The sequence below is a fragment of the Homo sapiens genome, chromosome 3 (assembly GCF_000001405.40).
Source record: "Homo sapiens chromosome 3, GRCh38.p14 Primary Assembly".
NCBI classification, from domain to species: domain Eukaryota; kingdom Metazoa; phylum Chordata; class Mammalia; order Primates; family Hominidae; genus Homo; species Homo sapiens.
This window is the reverse complement of record NC_000003.12, coordinates 124,289,775-124,309,140: the sequence shown is the minus strand read 5'-3', so window position 1 is coordinate 124,309,140 and position 19,366 is coordinate 124,289,775. Positions and strand designations below refer to the sequence as shown.

Genomic DNA, 19,366 nt, shown 5'->3' with positions numbered 1-19,366 from the left:
CAATCTCTTCACTTGCTATTGGTCTATTCAGATTATCTATTTCTTCTTGAATCAGTATCAGTTGTTACTACCTTTCTATGAATTTGTCCATTTCATTTATTATCTAATTTATTGGCTTGCAATTATTTATAGCATCTCTTTATAATACTATTTTCTCGTAAGGTAAGTAATAATATCCCCTCTTTCACTTCTGAGTCTAGTAATTTTTTTCATTGGTTGTTCTAGGTAAAGGTTTGTAAGTTTGGTTGACCTTTTCAATAAACCAGCTTTTGGTTTCATTAAATTTCTCTATTGTTTTCCTATTCTCTAGTTAATTTCTACTCTAATCTTTATTATTTCCTTTCTTCTGCTTGCTTTAGGTTTCGTTTGCTCTTCTTTTTCCAGTGTTTTAAAGTGGAAGTTTAGGTTATTGAGAACTTTTTTTTAGCTTTTTTAAGATAGGCATTACAACTATATGTTCTCTCTAAGCACAATTTTAGCTGTATCACGTAAGTTGTGGTATGATGTGTCAAAAATTTCATTCATCTAAAATTAGTTTCCAATTCTCCTTTTTATTTTGTCTCTTAGCTATTGGATATTCAGGAAGATGTTATTTAATTTCCACCTATTCGTGAATTTCTGAAATTCTTTCTGTTACCGATTTCTAATTTCATTCCATTGTGATGGGGTAAATATCTGGCATTATTTCTATCCTTTTTTATTTCATGAGGTTTGTTTTTTGACCTAGGATATGGTCTATTATGGACAATGTTTCATGTCCTGGAGAAGATTATATAGTCTGCTATTGTTGGATGGAGTGTTCTATAGATGTCTGTTGGTTCAATTTGGCTTATAGTCTTCTATTTCTTTGTTTAGGTATTCTATTTCCTTCTGCTAATTTGTTCCATCCATTATTAAAAGGGGGTATTGAAGTCTCCAATTAATACACTTGAATTGTATATTTCTTGCTTCATTTCTGTCAGTTTTTGCTTTGTGTATTTTGGTACTTTTTTGTTAGGTGTATATGTGCTTATAGTTGTTACATCTTCCTGATAGAGTGACATTCTTCTTCTTTAAAAAGTTGCTTTTTATCTTTAGTAACTTTTTGCTGTTCTTTTAAAATGCACTTAAGAATCTGTTATTAATATAGTCACTTGGCTATTCTTCTGATTGCTGTTTGCATAATACATGTTTTTCTATCCTTTTACTTTCCATCTATTTATATCTTTGAATCCAAAATGTGCCTCCTGTATACAGCAATTAGATTGGGTCTTATATTTTTTAAAAATGTTTTTTGACAGTGTTACTAACTGGATCTTGGTTTTTAAATCCAGTCTGACAATTTCTACCTTTGATTGGATTATTGAATCCTTTCACATTTAATGTCATTATTAATAGAGTTTATGTCTGCCATTTGACTTTTTTCTATATGTCTTTTTTATACTTCTATAACCCTGTACTGCTTTTTTTGCATAAGTGAGTATTTTGTAGTGTAGCATCTTGGTATCTTTACTGATTGATTTTTTTCACTATATTTTGGGAGTTATTTTCCTAGCTATTGCTCTAGGGCTTACCATATACACCTTATCAGAATCAGCTTCTACTGTACATTAACTTAATTCCAGTGAGACATAAAAATATTACTCCTATAGAGCTTTATTCCCTTTCCTCACATTTTGTCATATTTTATACATATTACATTTATAAATGTTACAAACCAAACATTAGATTGTTATAAGTATCACTTTCTGTAATTTTATGTCTTTTATAGAAGCTGAGACAAAAAAGGAGGATTACTATATATTTATAGCTTTTTTCATATTAGTCTTATTTATCATTTCTGAATCACTGTATTTGTTTCTGTGGATTCAAGTTATCATCTGGACTAATTTCCTTAGCCTACTACAAATTTGCTCCTACCAACCTCCTTTGTGCTATCACTGGAAAACATATTACATTTTTATGTTATAGGCCCAACAATACATTATGTACATATTATCTTATATGATTGCTTTTGAAATCAATTAAGAGAAAAAAGGAGAAGAAATGTGTGTTTATACTGTCTTTTATAGTCACATAATTACCTTTATCAGTGCTCTTTGTCTTTTGGTGTAGATTCAAATTACCATCAAGGGTCACTTGCTTTTAGCTTGAAAAACTTCCTTTATTATTTCTTATAAGGTGTATCTGCTAGAAACAAATTTTCTCAGTTTTTGTTTATCTCAGAATAGTTTTATTTCACCTTGATTTTTGAATGATAGTTTTGTTGGATATAGTATTCTTGGTTAACAGTTGTTTCCTTTGAGCACTTTTTAATATGTTGTCCTACTTCCTTTGGACCTCCATTGTTTCTGATGAGAAATCAGCTTTTAATCTTATTGAGGTTCCCTTGTAACAGAGAAGTCATTTTCCTCTTGCTATTTTTAAGGTTTTCCTTGTCTTTGGCTTTCAGTATTTTGCCATAATGTGTCTGCTTATGGATCTTCTTGAATTTATCCTACTTGGAGTTTCTTAAGCATCCTGGCCATAAATATTTTAAAATAAACTTTGAAAGATTTCAGCCACTATTTCATCTAATAATTTAATAATTTTTTTCTGTTTCTTCCTCTCTCTCCTCTCCTTTTGGTACTGCCATTATGCATAGCAGTTGGTGCACTTAATGGTGTCTCATGTTTTCCTGAAGCTCTGTACATTTGTCCTCATTCTTTTTTCTCTCTGTTCTTCATATTGCATAATTTCTATTAGTTTATCTTCAAGATTGTTAATTCTGTTTTTTCTTGTCAGTTCAAATCTACATTGAGCCTCTCTAAAAAATTTTTGTCTCAGTTATTGTATTTTTCAGCTCCATATTTCCTTTAAAAAAATAAGCCTCTCAGCCTGAGCAACATGGCAAAATCCCATATTTACAAAAAATGAAAAATTAGCTAGGCATGGTGGCATGCACCTGTAGTTCCAGCTACTCAGGTGGCTGAGGTGGGAGGACCGCTTGAGCCTAGGAGGTTAAGGCTGCAGTGAGCCATGATTGTCCCACTGCACTTCAGCCTGGGTGATAGAGCAAGACCCTATTTCAAAATAAATAATAATAATAATAATGTCTTTACTGATATTCTGTGTTTGATGGGGACATTGTAATTATGCTTTCATTTAATTCTTCAACTATGGTTTGTTTTTTGAACATATCTATAATAGCAATTTTAAGGTCTTTGTAAAATCTGACATCTGGTTGCTCTCACAGGTGATTTCTATTGACTGTTTTTTATTTTTTTTCTAGTACATATTTTTACTCCTTTTTTTTCCTGGTCATACTTTCCTGTTTCTTTGCATGTGTCATAATTTTTTTGTTGAAAATTGGACATTTTAGGTCATATAGCAGCAACTCTGGGTACTGGTCTCCCACTTCTTTTAGAGCTTGTTGTTGTTATTTGCTTATTTGTTTAGTGACTGGATTATTGAAATATTCCCACTCCCCCACAGCTCCACAGTAAGAAGACTCCAATGTTGCTCCCAGGGGGAGTACAGCATTGGATAGGCTCACAGGCACCCTGCAATGGCAGTGGCTTTGGCAGTGCTCTGATTTTCTTTCCCTGACCACACCCAGCTGGTACCAGATCTTGTACCAGGTTTGATTTTTCCTTGGTGCTGTCAATGGAATTTAATTCCATTAATTGCAAGCTGATTGCTCTATTGTTTTCAACAATGTACTGGGGCATAAGTGGTTCCACAGACATATGCAATTAAATTTGGGTCTCTTTGAAGAGATAGTTCCTGAAGTCAATGCTTGAAATTTGTTCTGGCCCCAGGAGATCTCTTTCCCTGATTGTCTCTGGCAAACTAACCTGCCTGAAATGCTGCCTATGTCGCCAATGGATCTACCAATCTTCTAATTTGCTTTCACCAGAACCTCCCTAAGAGCATTTTTGTAAGTGGCTTAAACTTTTCCATCCTCTGTTGCACATGAAATCAGTTCCTTTGGGGAAAGATTTAGAGTTCTTTTTTTACAGTTTGTTTCTACCCCAAGCAAAATCTCTGAGCTGCAGCTCTGGAGCTGGGGTTGGGGACAATGGTGTGCTTTCCTGAATGACACCCCCACTTTAGGAGCTGAATGCTCAGTGGAGTGAGATGAATAGCCTCAGGTCTTCTTGGCTTATCTCTCCCAACATGGAAATTCTGCCTAAGGGTGATTGGGGCCCTGGCACACATTGCACAGCCACTGTTCTAAGAATGAGGGCTGGGTAGAAGGGAGTCTCCATCTCCGGGGGACATTCACCCAGAACTTGGCTTCAGCAACACGTAGTTTGGGGCAGGATAAGAAATGTCCCACCTGGGAAGATACTCCTTCAACTGGGAACTAGGGTGGAGGGTAAAGGAACCCTGTGTTCTTGGTTGAAGCTTTCTGGAGTGGAGTTTCAAACTTACTGAGTTGGGAGGGGAAAAGAAGAGAGTGGGTCTTGGTTCAAATACCACAGGCTCACTGTTCTTATTGAATTTTAGTGTATGTTCTTGAATAAATGTTTTTCATTTGCTGTATGCATTTTGGACCATTTCCGATACTTTAAATGCTTGTTTTAAAATTTTTCACTAGTTTCAATGGATAACAGGTTTGCAGAGTTCTTCACACTGTCATGCTGGAAGTGAACTGTCCTTCAGAATGTATAATGTTTTCTTTTAGAAAGTGATAATTTAATACATATAGATCTTCATAGAGAAATAGTTTTCTGATTTAACGTGCATATAGATCACTTGGGGAACTTGTTTACAATCCTGGGGTCCTACTCCCAGAGATTATGATTTTCCAGAACTAGGGTGGTAATCAAAAAGAAATCTGCATGTTTAGCAAGCTCCCTATGTGATTCTTTGACAAAAAATTATACTAAAAAGACTAATGCTTACTGGATAAGATTGAACTCTTCTTCTTCATTTTTTTAAAACAAGTTCTATGTCTACTAAGGGACTTTGCAGCTATGGCAGTGTCAAACACTGGCTACTTAAACATTACAATAGTGTGTGTGTGTGTGTGTGTGTGTGTGTGTGTGTTTACAACAAAATCTAGAAATTCTGACATTCTAAAAAATGCTGCCTGTTTGGAGATGGGAAGTGCCACAGAATCATGGTTTAGGGCTGCCAAGAATCAAAGATGACAGAGGGCTTGGGGCAAGGTTTCTCAGATTAGGGTTGGGAGATTAGAGTTGGGAGACCACCTGCCTGCCTCAGAATCTTGATTTTTCTCATACCAGATCTGATTTTTCCTTGGTGCTGTCATTTGTAACCTTCCCTCAAAACAAAGAGAGAACACACTGTAGTTTTTTTTCTGCAACTGGTCTGATTTGCACACCATCAAGTGGCAATATGTGCCTTTGGCGAGCAAATTAGTGGGATTAAAACAGCTATCAAGCATGCTGCAGCAGAAAGGATTCCTCCCGCCCAGCTGCACATTGTTATCACTACTGTGAATCCTCACAGTCATAATAGAAAATGAATATCATTTCATATTTTAAAACTCTAGACAGAAGCCATTAGCAATTTATTTTTCCCAAAGAACCAGCTAATTAAAATTGTAAATAAGATTGTGTTACGTTTGCATGTACTCCTGCGAGTCGCATGAAGAACCAGAACATAGATGGTTAGATGACTGTTCTGTGCATATTACCACCCAACTTCACTTCCATCTGCCCATACTCCCATCAGAGTAGAAGGCCACAATCAGGGGAAGGAAAATTTATGCAAAAGGCTTCCACAACAGAAGGCAGAATTAAACAAGAGGAAGGCCCCAGAGAGCTCAGGAAAGCTGGTTGTCTGAGGCACTGTAAGAAGCAACAGAAAATTTTCCTACTGGGTTTAGTAGGTGGGTTGTTGTTATTATTACTATTAATTGAAGATCAAAAGAACTGGGTTTCCCAGTGGGAAATTCAAAAACACATGTTATGATAAAAAATCTAAAGATCAACCAATTTTAACTTTTTTTCATTTTATTTATGTACCATATTTAGTAGGATATCACTCCCACACTCTTGGTATGTTAATAATTGATGGCCTCTCCTGGTACCAATTCATAGATAAAATTTAGAAAATTTCTGATTTTTCTTCTGTGATTTAATGATATGCAATTATTTCTTTTTATTACAGACTGAATAGCAGAGCCCCAAAATTTATATGTTGAAGTTCTAACCCCCAAGTACCATTAAAAACTGACTGCATGTGAAGATAGGGTGTTTAAATAGGTAATTAAGTTAAAATGAGGCCATTAGGGTGGGATCTAATCCAGTCTGAGTGGTATCTTTACATAAAAAGAGGAGGTTAAGACATACAGAGAGATACCAGGGTGTGTGCTCACAGAGAAAAGGCCACGTGGCAGCACAGTGAGAAGGTAGCCATCTGCCAGCCAAGAAGAGAGGCCTCAAGAGAAACTAAACCTGCCATCACCTTGATCTTGAACTTTTAGATTCCAGAACTGTGAGTAAACAAATTTCTGTTGTTCAAGCCACCCAGTCCATGACATTGTTATGGCAGCCCTAGCAAATTAATACTCTCAGTAATGGTCACCTTTGCTGGAATTGGGTCTTCAACCAATGTATAAACACTTGACATGTGAAAATAAAACAGAACAGGTAAGTTATTAGTTGATTATTTTCATTGACAAAATGATACACCTAGGACTTCTTTAAATTATAAGTTCTTTGGTACATTATAGAGTTACTTCAATTCACAGGCCATTAATTTCTATCAATGAATGAACAATCAACATTAAGTCAATGCAGATGGTTGATTGAAAAATGTACCTGACCTGACCACCCCCTCATCTAAATTGGGTCCTTTTCTTAAACTCTGTCCTAACATCCCTTACTCTTCCAACATAAGACTTATTGGTTTGTAATTATATATTTATTTGTGAGATTATATACTTAACATCTATCTCTCCGCTGGACTCTCCATGAGACATAATCATCTCTGTCTTGTTCACCACTATATGCTCAGTATCCAATACAATGTCTGATCTTTAATTATATGTTAAATGAGTGAATAAAGAAGAGATAAGGTTCTTAGAACCTTAAGTTGGGGAGGTTGATTGACAGGTTTTAGGATTCCCCTGAATCTCCGGAAACTGTCTTTAAAAATGTGTTTATGCATACATTTCTCTGAAGAGAGGATTCACAACCTTCATTTGATTTCAAAGGGATCTGTGAACTACCTGAAACATAAGGAACCATTGGCCTATTTCCGTGTGGTAAAATAAGATTCAATACCAAAAGACTTACCTGCAGCCTAAAACAAAGTATGCTATATGTACATTTACATGAATGGATGTGTGGGTATATGTATATGTGTGTGTATAATTTCCAAGAACGGAAACGCTGCAGTGAATCTACACAACAATCCACATTCCCACTTCCCCTGAGTAACTGATCATTCCTGTAGTCACTGAGTTCGAGCAGTAGCCACTTGCATACATGTGTTTCTTGGCAGCAACATCCATCACCCAGGCCAGAGAAAAGGAATCTGTAATTCCCTCTTTTCACCTGCTTGGGATGCTGACCTCCCTCTTTGCAGGAAGTTTCTTTTAATAACAAACCTTAAACCTCCCATTTAACAAAGGCACCAGGTATGTTTATCAAGCACAGGCGGGCAAGCAATTTGATCCAAAAACCCTGGGATTTCCCTTCCCTTACCCTGAAGCCAGAGAGGAGATCCAGCCTAATCAGGCCAAGGAAGCCTCTGAGTGCTGTGTGCATTCACAGTGAGGGAGGCTACAAGATTGGCTGGGACACACTAATTGGCTGTTGCATACTAAATCTCTTCTCTTCTCTCTCCAGTTCCAGAAGATACTTCCCTTCAGTAAATTTCCTCCCTTATTTTTGTCCTAAAAAATGGAGACTTCAACAGTAAATCTGTCTGAAGAAAGGTTTTTGATGTGCTGTTAACTCTCAGTTATCCACACTAGCAGAGAAGAGCAGTTAATTCAAAGATAATTACAGATAATTCAAAACCAAAGGCTCTTTTGATTTAACTTTGCAGTTCACTGTTTCTAGGGGCTTGGTGGTGGATTTACCTCCCTAATTATGGTTGTCTTTGTTGCTTATTAAAATGAGTTTGTCTGCCTTAGGGCCAGGCTGTTGGGTAATGTGAAAATTCTGGCACAGAATTTGTAAAACTCACCAGGGAAAATCCACAAGGCACACAAATAATCAGACTTGACTAGATTTGAGTTCACGTTCTTAATCACCTGTTACCAATTGCTTTGCTGCTCTACACTAAAGGGAGACAGAAATGAGAAATATCTACAGGAGACCAGTGGGAAGAAAATGAGTCTTTACACTGAGATGAAGACACAAGACTGTGTTGTGGCCAAGACTGATAACACAATCAGTGTTGATGATTTCCCTGCCTGGTCTCATAACCTTCATCTCTGCAGCCAGAGTGATCTTTCTATGCAAGTCTCATGATGTTCACCTCTACCTAACATCTTTCAGTGTGCTAGTCATTAGAGCTGTTCACAACCATCCTGCTCTCTCTTTCCCAGCACGTGATAGGACTGCACAATGTCCCCAGCCACTTCAAATTGGACGTGGTTCTGTGACTGGCGTTGGCCAACGGAATGTGAGCAAATGTATCACTTCTAGTTGGAAAGTTTCAGAGCCAGCATGTGTCCAGCATGTGTCCTTGGGTACATGCTTTGCCTGGCAAGACTGGCAGCATCTGAGCTGGCAGATCTGAGCTGGTGACTATACCATCAGCCCAGGTCTCTCTGGGTGGCTATGATAAGCAGAGCTCCTACAAGCTAGGGATGGGTGTGTGGTAGGAACAATAAACAAACCTCTGTTGTTTTCAACCACTGACATTTTAAGGTTCTTGGTTAACTCGGCATATCTCTATCACTGCACATATCAAGCTGCACCATGATTATCTACTTTTCTTTCTCTAGCTAGACAGTGAACAACTTGAGGCCAGAATTATTTAATTAAAAGTAATGGCAAAAGCACAATTACTTTTGCACCAACCTAAAATATTTCTTCTCCAGTGTGTTAACTCTAGTGCATAGCATATTTAAAAGAGCCTGGTAGACAATGAAATTCTCTTCCTTCTTGGCCTCTGTGATTCACCTTGTTTCTGTTTTTCTAACACTTGCCCCACTCCCAACATCACCAGCTACAATGATAAGCTGTCTTTGTTTTTCAGATATATGAGGAATGGTGGAGCTATTCTTCTGGACCAATAATTCAAGTAGAAAGAGCTGGTGGAGGAGATAGGCATTCTGAGGCTGCAGGAGTTTGAAATACAATGGCTTCAAAGAGCAGACACAATTTTGAAATAAAATCTTGGGGTAGCCACGCAGGAAAACAAAAATATATCCCGAAGTGTTAGGTTTATGAGGGATAAGAGTGGTCATCTGGAGTGAACTCCTCCATCCTTATCATTATCATAACACCAGCATTTACTGATGACTTACTATGTGCCAGGCACCGTTCTCATTGTTTTACAGTTAACACATTAAATCCTTACAACAACCTTATATGGTAGCTATTATTATTTCCATTTTATACATAAGGAAACTGAAGCATAGAGAGGTAAAGTAAGTTCTATCTGGCCAAACAGTTAGCAAACATCCCTCTCTGAGTGTTCAGCATCTGCCTGAACACTGCTCATCATGGAGAGCTCACTGTCTCCCACTGCATCCCACCCCACCTCCTGCTCCAAGCCACATCCTGCCGCCCCTTCAAACTGCCATCCCCTGAACATTTCTGCCTTCTAAACAAACATAAAGCAATTCTACCCTTTTCTCTTTAAGGCAGCCCTTTAAATATTCGAAGGCAGAAATCACATGTCCCTTAGGGTTTCTCTTCCCCAGTCTAAACAGCCCCGGGTCACTCAACCATTTCCAATGTGCCACAGCTTGAGGCCCCTCACCATCCCCGATCAGTGACTCACACATGCTGGGGACCAAAAAACGTTGGCTAAGTCAGTGAAGTGGAACTGGTGGAACTCGCCCTTCTAGACTTGAGCTGAGCCAATGCCTCCTGCAACCCGGGACACATTCTTTCACTGTGTAAAGCAGGATCTGGAGGCATAATCTGCTGCAGGAACAGCTGGCTGGCCACATGCCCTGCACTCATCCCCATTCCAACAAATGGAACACCAAAGGGTCAGCATGTTCACAGTTCTTCCTCGGGTGGAAAGTCTGTTTCTGTCCCTCCTCCCACTTCTCCCCACTCTCCCACTCCCAGAGGCAGTGCTGAGAACAGCCCCTCAGCTCACCATGGAGTTCATGGCAAAGTGATTGTGCTGCGTCTGGAGGTCAAGGGCGTACTGGTAGCTGACTCCGATCTCCGTGTGGCTCTGGAGGAATAACTCCTTGTTGTGGCTTATCCAGTCAAACATCTAGAGAGGACAAGAAGGCACAGCATAATCAGAATGGTCATGGGTCGAATAGGGCAAAACTTTCAGAGCTAGTGGAAGGGGAAAAAGCTCTCCTGCTGGTGCTCAGTGAGAACCAGTTATTGTTCTGAGTCTCGGGGTCTTAATGGGGTGGGCCACAGCCTGATTTCTCAGGAGAGCCCTCACTTTTAGCGTAAGACCCCACCAGCAGCCGCTGTGTTGCATTACAGAGCCTAAGGGAAAAAGAGAAAATGAGTGAGATAATTGGGAGATGGGAGAGGAAGCTGTTTACCATTACCAGCATGCTTGCTTTAGGGACAGGTGCTGAGGAGACAAGCTGGGAGGCTTAATGCATCTCCTGCCGCACTAGTAGAAGAGAGAAATCTTTGAAGGAAGCAACAGGGACATCCTTACTCGCCTCTGCCCCCCTTATACACTGCCCAGCCACACACAATGTTGAATTGATTCTGAAGTGAATCAGCTTTTCTCATAACTCTACAGCCTCACAATTCCTGGGTTTCTGCTATAACCCACTGGGAAGCAGAAGATGAGGGTTTTAAGCGTAGTATAAGTACCACCTGGTGCTAGCACAGTGGGCATTAAGCCATCTTCCTCCTCCTAGCTCCATACCCTGGTTTTCACTTAGGTATCCAGCCCTCTTCCAGGCAGCCCACATACTTCAATGGGAGCTGACCAGAACCCCTGGCTTTTTGGGACACCAGACCTAAGCCAAACAGTGCATGACATTTCCCAACCAATGGGATTGTCTCAGATATAAGAATGTGATCCAATTTAGTACAATAAAACATGAGGGAAGTTTGCTAGAAACTTCTAGGAAAACAGAATCCTAGTTATTTAGTTATGGCTTCTCTTCTTCCAGTATTGTTGTATGTGGCTCTGACCTCAAATTGCTGCAGCCATTCTTCTGGCAGCCTGAGGGTGAAGCCAATGGGTAGAGAAAGGGTGGAGCCAAGACAACTGCAGGAAGCAGGCAGAGCCCTGGCTGAGCATTGTCTGGTTTCCACTTTGTCTCTGGACTTCCTTGGACCTGAGCCAAGAAATCCTCTTTATTATTAAAGCCAGTTTAAGTTGGACTTTCTGTAATATTCTGTCCAGAGCAGGAAATTCTACTATTTTCTCCTTAAGGCAGCCCTTTAAATATTTGAAGATAGCCATCACATGTCCCTTACAGTTTCTCTTCCCCAAGGGGATGCGGACTGGAAGGGAAGAGAAAAATGGTTAGGAGGCTGCTACAGAAATCCTGATGTGGGTGAGGACCTGGAAACTCAACCATTTCCAGTGTGCCACAGCTCGAGGCTCCTCATCATCTCAGCTCAGTGACTCACACATGCTAGGGACCAAAAAACAATGGCTAAGTCAGCAAAAGCCAAGAAAGGTGTGAAAGAGTATACTTGGAGAAGAGAACTGCACTACTTAAGCCTCACAATCCATTTGGGATGGACTAAAGGCCACAGCCCAGTTGCAGAGTGAAGCAGGAAACAGCTGAGAACAGAAACAGGCTAAGAAGTGGCCATGATTGCACCAGCTCTCTGGAGCCAGAACTGCAGCCTTATCCAATTATGTCCCTTGAACAGAAGAGTGAGTTACTACTTCAATTACATTCAACCAGTATTTATGGGATACCTGCTATGTGCCAGGGACCGCTGGAGGTGGCATGAGGCAAAAATGACTAAAATATGGTTCTTGAGTATTAGTGGCTTAAAGGCTAATGTGGAAAGTTGACATGGACTCAGATACAACTTTATTATAATCTGGCACACAATGTGATTAAAATTACAACTCAAAAAAACATCTACTGATAAGATAGAGGTGAATATTGGCTGTTGAGGGAGCACAGAAGAGGCCACCTCACCTATCCTTGAGGAGTGAGATGGGGAAGAGCAGAGAAGGCTTCTCAGAGGAGGTGACACCTGAGTCAAACCTTGATTCAGATAGGAATCAGCCAGATGAAGGCCAGTGGGATGCATGCTCAGGCAAAGCGACAGAACTGGGATAGCCCACTGTGTCGAGGGCAATGAAGGGTCCTCAGCTGTGTTTCTGGAGCCTGACATCAAGGAGGAAGTGTGGCTGGGGAGGCAGGTGGGACAGACTGACCACAAAGAGCCTTGCACACAGGCTTCAGGGAACCTGGACCACACATTGTCGGCTGCCAGGTGCTGGTGGGAGGTTTTAAGCTGGGTAGTGAAGTGTGAAGTGAGCTTTGATGACAGTGAGGGATGTGGACTGGAAGGGAAGAGAAAATGGCTAGAAGGCTGCTACTGAAATCCTGACGAGGGCGAGGACCCGGAGTCCTGGATTACGGGAGTGGCAGTAGAGTCTGAGAAATTGGCAGATTTGAGAGCTACTGGGAGCAGGATTGGGGACTTAGTTGTTTAGAGAGGAGAAGGTGGGGAAGAGCTAGAGAGAACAGCCAGGCTTCTGGCATGGCACCTGAGTCCTGGTAATAAAAAGTACCACCACAGATGCTGCCTAAAGAAGAAGGTAAGAAGCTTGGGTGGGAAATTGTATGTTCCGTTTTAGATGTGCTGAGTTTGGGAGGCCTGTGAGAGTTTCAAGGGGAGGTATCCAGTAGGCAGTTAGATTTGTGTCTAAAGGTCAGGAGAGAGACATCAGGGCTGTAACAACTCACACTTAAGTATAAAAACATCACCTTCCAAAGGCAAACGTGCATGATTTGGAGATTATTCTCCCTTTTGAATTACACTTCCATCTACTTACACCAACAGTAAAGAAAGGACGAAAGGACCATTCTTTACTTCTGAGTGTCAGAGAATTTATTTCAGGCTGGGGCTCCTGTAGAGGTTGGGTCGATATTTGTGCTGTGTGCACTATCCTGGGTCCTCCAGCCTCAGCTACCCTCACATCACAGGCATTTGTTCAGGGCTTTTATTTTTTCTTCTTTAATTATTATTAAGGACAAGAAGGAAAAGAAGACAGGAATTTAGAGGACTCTGATTCTATAATTTTTATCTTTAGAATTCTGCCTCCCAGCCCTATTTTAAAATAATTTCTCATTTCTTTTCTTTATTGACAAAAGAATCAATAAAGTTAATGAAAGTCTGAAATGCCTGAAGTCCTTAGAACTTGTGATGAAAAGCGCTCACTCCATACACTTTCTTGGATGTTTCAGTGGCCGATTAGTGACCTTCCCTGTATGTTATGTTAAATGGTCACTTAGATATGCAAATAAGCAGATGAGTTATGTGCTGGCACCAGAATGATTAGATTGCTCAGCACCAGATCCCTCAACCACAGAGTAGGGAAAGCTGAACACAGGCCAATTAGGGTGGAAAGCAATATAAAAATGAGTTAAAGACAGGTGAGAGTTGAGAGTGCTGAAGGAACTGTGCACCTTGCTGAATCAGCTTCTTACAAAATGAGGTCTGCGCCCATGCCATCCCAACTGATTTTGCCTCCTACATTTGGAGCATACAAGCTTGTCACTGGGGTCTGGGACATTCTGGAAAAGTTTAGCTTTCACTGGAGGTGGCGCTCCAAAGAGGTGATACACATCTCAGTAGAGAGAAAAAGACCTGCTCTGGGGATTAGATGGTCTCATGTGATGTCAGGAACCAAGGTTTCCTAAGGGACAATCACAAATCTTCTCTAGACCTAAACTTGCTGCCTACTAGCATATAATCCTCACCCCTGCAAGGCTGGCTGTCTGCAAGGTTCATAGTCATCTCTGTTACATTCAGTGGAACTGGCTGCAGAGGCAGAATGTGTGCATACATGAATGCATGCGTGTGCATGTATACATACAGTCAAGTGAGATGAAGACTACACTGGTTCCAGGCCCAGCTCTGTCACTAACTCCACATGAGACTGTGGAAAAGTCACTTCATTTCTGATCTTCTCCTCATTTGAAGAGATAGTGGTTTGCAGAATGGAGGCAAGCATCCTGGTTTATAATACGCACAATTTGGAAATGTATAGAATGCATTTTTTCCACCCAAAATAAAAAATAGTTTTGTTGATTCTCCTGGATCAGAAGATATATTCATTGCTACAACTTACATTTCTATCTTTTTGAATAAAATAATGTCAGTGAGAAAAATGGCATTGTTTTATAGCCAGAGAAGCTTCTGGATTTGGTGGTGGGTGCCTGTAATCCCAGCTACTTGGGAGGCTGAGGCAGGAGAATCACTTGAACCCGGGAGGCGGAGGTTGCAGTGAGCTGAGATCATGCCACTGCACTCTAGCCCAGGGAACAGTGCGAGACTCCATCTCAAAAAAAAAAAAAAAAAAAAAAGAAGAGAATCTTCTTAGTCTCAGCCCTGACAATTGTGTGATGCTTTAGAGTTCAAAATGTCCACTCACCCTTCATCATTACATTGCATCCATAAAACAATCCCACAAGGTGCTATCATCAGGCCCACTTCCCAGGCAGGAAAACAGGTTCAGGGAAGTAAAGTCCAGGGTGTAGATTTAATTCATTCTACCCAAGGCTACATTCACTGAGTGCCCACTGAGCCATGCTTTGGGGACACCGCCCTGCCTCCCACTCATATGGCTGTAAGACTTTCTCTGCTTGAGCTCCCCAGGGCAGTTATCCCTAAAAGTTAGCTGAAAGGGCAGCTGTAGATGTCCGTGTAATAATCTCTTCAGAACCTGAATGATCTCTTACCCCAGATGGTACTCTATCTGGGGTAAGGTGCTATTCCTCAGTTGGAACACTTCCCTGTCAATATCTAGCCTGCTCCTCCTTCTCTACCTCCTCTTTCTTCTCCTCTTCCTCCACTGCCTGCCCCACCAAGATGGAGTGCCAGGTGTCTGGGGATGGCTGATTCAAATAGCTCTAGTTCTCTCAATACTCACTGAATGAATGAATGAATGAATGAATACTATGAGTTGGTCATAGGTTATTCGGTTGCTAGTCTCCAGATAAGTGGACTCTTTCTAAGCTCCCTTCCAGCTAGGACATTTTAAACTAAAAATATCTCCAAAGTGCCTTCAAACTTGTCTTTGTTTTTTGAGAAGCCACAAATGGTGAGTTCAGCAAAGTGTAATATAACAAAAAAAATTCTACAAAGAGGAAAGTTCGTGTCTAAATAATGAAATTGTATCTCTTTGAAATTAACATAGTTTAGTCTCATTAAGAAGATAGATGTTACATGTAAGTCATTTGGGGTTTTTTTTTCCTTTTCTTTTGGGGTTTTGTTTTTAACCAAGCTAAGTAATTTTTTTTTCTGCTGGCTAAAATCCAGTGAAAATATACAAATCTAGTTCTTAATACAGTAAATGTTAAATGAATCTACTTAAATGCAAATTAGGAAAACAAACAGAAACCTTTTTCTCCTTTCAATAATAGGAATAGCTAAAATGTTATTATTGTTCTTTTTTTAAGAAGCATAAATTATTTCATAGGACAAGTATATTAAGAATCTTATGTTTATTTTCCTTCATTTGCCAAATTTAGCAATAGCATCTGATTTAGAGTTTTAACTTTCAAACCACCTTATTATCTATTGTTAGTATTTTATACTCTAATTATAGATTACATTGGTATTAAATATGTTCATATTCAGCTTTGATGAGCTGATTAAGAGGACACAAGACAACCAATGGCTTTTCTTTGCCTAAATATGTGCATCCCAATATCAATCATGTTCACTATACCCTGTGTACACTACAGTGGTGCATCCATAAAAGCTTGTGCCCTAGAGAGAACTAACAACCTCCTTGCGGGTGAACCTTGTTATATCTGGGAAACTAGCCGCCCAGTCAATTCCAAAATAAAATTGTATGAGTGTTAGAGCGCAAGGAACAGAATTCAAATCAGTACAGACTCTGCTGTATAAACTTTGACAAGTTTTATCATTGGTCTGAAATTCAGTTCCTTATCTATAAAATGTGGGTAATAATTTAAACTACTTAAACCTTAGGGTATCAGGGAGATTCAAATAAAATGATGGCTATGAAAATGCTTTGTTAAGTGCTACATATATGATAGATTCTGAAATCTGCATATGAGCATATATTCTATTGCACATATTTCCTAAATGTTTTCATTATAGTAAAAAACAGATGAAAGGTATGAATTTAAGATTGCAGTAAATGGGGAATCACACCTGCAGCTCATATGCAAACACATCCACCGCCCACCCACCTAGACATGCACCCCCAGAGTGACCGCAGGGCACCGCACAGACACAGCCCAAAGGTGCCTGTCCATCCTCCCACCACCTCCACCTTCACGCACTCAGAGACCCAGACACCCTCTCAGGGCTCTGCCTGAGGGCACTGGTGCCTTCCTGCTGTCCCTGGGTGGCCTGACCAGGGAATCTTACTTCCTCTTGGCTTGCTTCCAGACTCTCCCTTCCCCACCCTCTCTGCTACACCTCAACTCTCACTATTAGAGACTCAGTTCCTTTGGCTCTTAACAGTTTTTCACTCAGGTGAGATGCCTATTAAAATGCAATTTTTCATGCAATCCCTCCTGGAATTAGCTTATCCTGAATATAGAAACAGTTTAGTAGGAGGGCAAGGTCCTTTGTGAACATGGCCCAGGGATGAGATCCTACAAAGTGGCAGAGAGGTCCTAGAGAGTAGGAGGGAAGCCCTAAAATAGACGTGAGAATCAAAGGCAAAATCTCCCCACTTTACAATTTTGCTTTCATGGAACTTGGACTGACCCAGGACACATTTTCTTGTGCAAATAGGGCAACACACAGACCTCATAAAGGACCCCAAAATGTGGAGTTTTCTCCAGGTTCCAAGAATTCCTTACTGAAAGAATGTGACATCTCACCTCTTTCGTATCCTGCAAACCCTGCAGACCACAGAGTATTTAGGTTCTGAAGAGATCATTACACGGACATCTACAGACGGGGGAGGCAGCTGGGATATGGGCCTGAGAGGCTGTAGGTGTAATAAATATCTCTTGAAGCTCTGCTTGTTTCCTTCGTGTTTTTGGCATGTCAGTTGGCATACTTTTATATATTGTGTAAAAGAGAAGCCATTTTTGTCTTTTGTCATAAATCCAGTCTGCTCAAGGAAGGACAGCACAGCCTGGTTACCTGGGAGACACTTTCACTGTATCCTCAGTAACTGGCCAGGATGCCAAACATCTCACTGACCAGGCCACGTCTCTGATCTGTAAACATGCTACGGATCCCCTAACTCATTTCTTACACCTTCCATACCCAAATTCCTTAAATCTCAAATCCCATGTCTAACACCCTTACATGTTCCTCACAATCTAGAACAGGTCGGATTTCTCTGTGAAACAGCCAAATATCCCACTACGAGCAAAGGGTTAACAAAACCCTTTCCCCTCTTACATGGTAATTTGACCTTCAGTTAACATCCAAGTTCAGCTTCCCTGAAAACAGATAAAAGATGGTATGTGCCAACATGTTGCTAAATCATGTTTCTTATGGTAAAAAAAAAATCCCCTGCTTCACAAATTTCATCTTGATTGGGAGGAACTGTAAGTGAACTGCAAATACCTGATGGGTACACCATAGCTTGGACATCCCTGAGGTGGTGATTTTTATAACTGCAATGTTCATTGCAGAAACTCTGGAAGCTGTGCCAACGGAGTTGTTACCAAACATACTGGTTCCCATGGGGCATGGAGTTTATAAGCCATGGCAGCTCCTACAGCTGCCCAATGCAGATCTTACCTCCTTGCACCTAAGCCGATGGCTGAGCTGAACTGCTGCAAGCACTGCTCTGCTGGCAAGCTGTGGTTCCCATCTTCTATCATTCTCAGTAGATCAGTACCCAAGATGGCCCATGGTAGTCTCATAAATCTGAGTGTTTAGTGGGACCTAAGAAGACTCCCTGGTAGGTGTTGTGCTCATATTTTAGAGCCAAACTATACCTACAACAGTATAAACCTCTTGTCTTCTTTTTCTTCCTCTTCCCTTCTCTCCATAACAATTTATCTCCATGATATGTTAATGTTATCTCCATAACATCAATGATGATGACAGTTATGACGATTCCAACAACTAAGATTTGTTAAATGCTCACTATGTGACAGGTACTGTACTAAGCACTTTATATATATTAACTCACTTAATCCTCCTAATAACCTCATAATTATCTCCCCAATATTAACCCTCAATATCATCATCTCCCTTTTATGAATTAGGAAACTAAGGCACCAAGAAATTAATTAACTTGTCTAAAGCCACACAGCTAATAAACATCAGAGTCAAGGTTTCAAACCCAGGAGGTCTAGTTCCAGAGTTGATGCTCTTAACTCTGCTGCTAAACCCTCCAATGAGCCCGGAGCTTCCTTCTGTCTCTCCTTCTCTTCATCACCAGACTTTCAGAAGTGTGTTCTGCCCCTACTGCCTTTGTTTTTCCTCCATCCAATTCCTCCTTCAGCCCTTAAAATATGGTTGCTTTTACTACTTTCTTGAGTTGACACCCACGATGAAACCCAGTCACTTCCTAGTTTCTGAATTCTTTATTCTGTCAGTTCTCACTCACTTTGACCTCGTGTCAGAATCAGATGCAGTCCTTTCTGAAATTCCACCCTGTCTGCCCCCCAAGACCAGGTAATTTTCAGCAGCAGCCCATCTGGCTTCAGACATGATGAGTGTCTCTTCCTGCTTTCACAAGTCTCTAGACTTGTAAACATTTTCTCTGGAGAATCAGTGTTTTCACATACTTGAATTTTCTTCCTTGACACATCATATCTAGTCTCAGCATGACAAAAATGACAGGAAAACTCTAATTTTGAAAGCTTACCAATCCTCCAATCCTACAATGACTTATCTAAACTTACCTCCCACTTCCCTGGCTGCCAATTTGTGGCTTCCTTTTGTGTCCTTCACAGCCTATTGTGACAATCTAAACATGGACCTCAGCCCTTTACCCTTCATCCATCAAACCCTCTCCATGTGAATATCCACCCGGGCCCACAACTTCAACAACAATAATACTATGTCTTATTTCATGTGCCTGTGCCAAGAGCCTTCATAGTGTATGTCACATAATCCTCATAATAATGCTACAAAGAAGATATTGTTAATTCCATTTT

General features: G+C 40.4%; 1 protein-coding gene across 32 annotated transcripts in view; it reads right to left on the bottom strand.

Annotated features, from left to right (window-relative positions):
* The window catches only part of KALRN (kalirin RhoGEF kinase), a 692,957-nt gene that overhangs the window by 417,185 nt on the left and 256,406 nt on the right, over nucleotides 1-19,366 (bottom strand). For all 32 annotated transcript variants that reach the window (XM_006713810.4, XM_017007429.2, XM_011513279.3 and 29 more), the window contains exon 6: nucleotides 10,228-10,350. In XM_006713810.4, coding sequence (XP_006713873.1) covers nucleotides 10,228-10,350 — 123 coding nt within the window. The remainder of the gene's footprint in view (nucleotides 1-10,227; nucleotides 10,351-19,366) is intronic.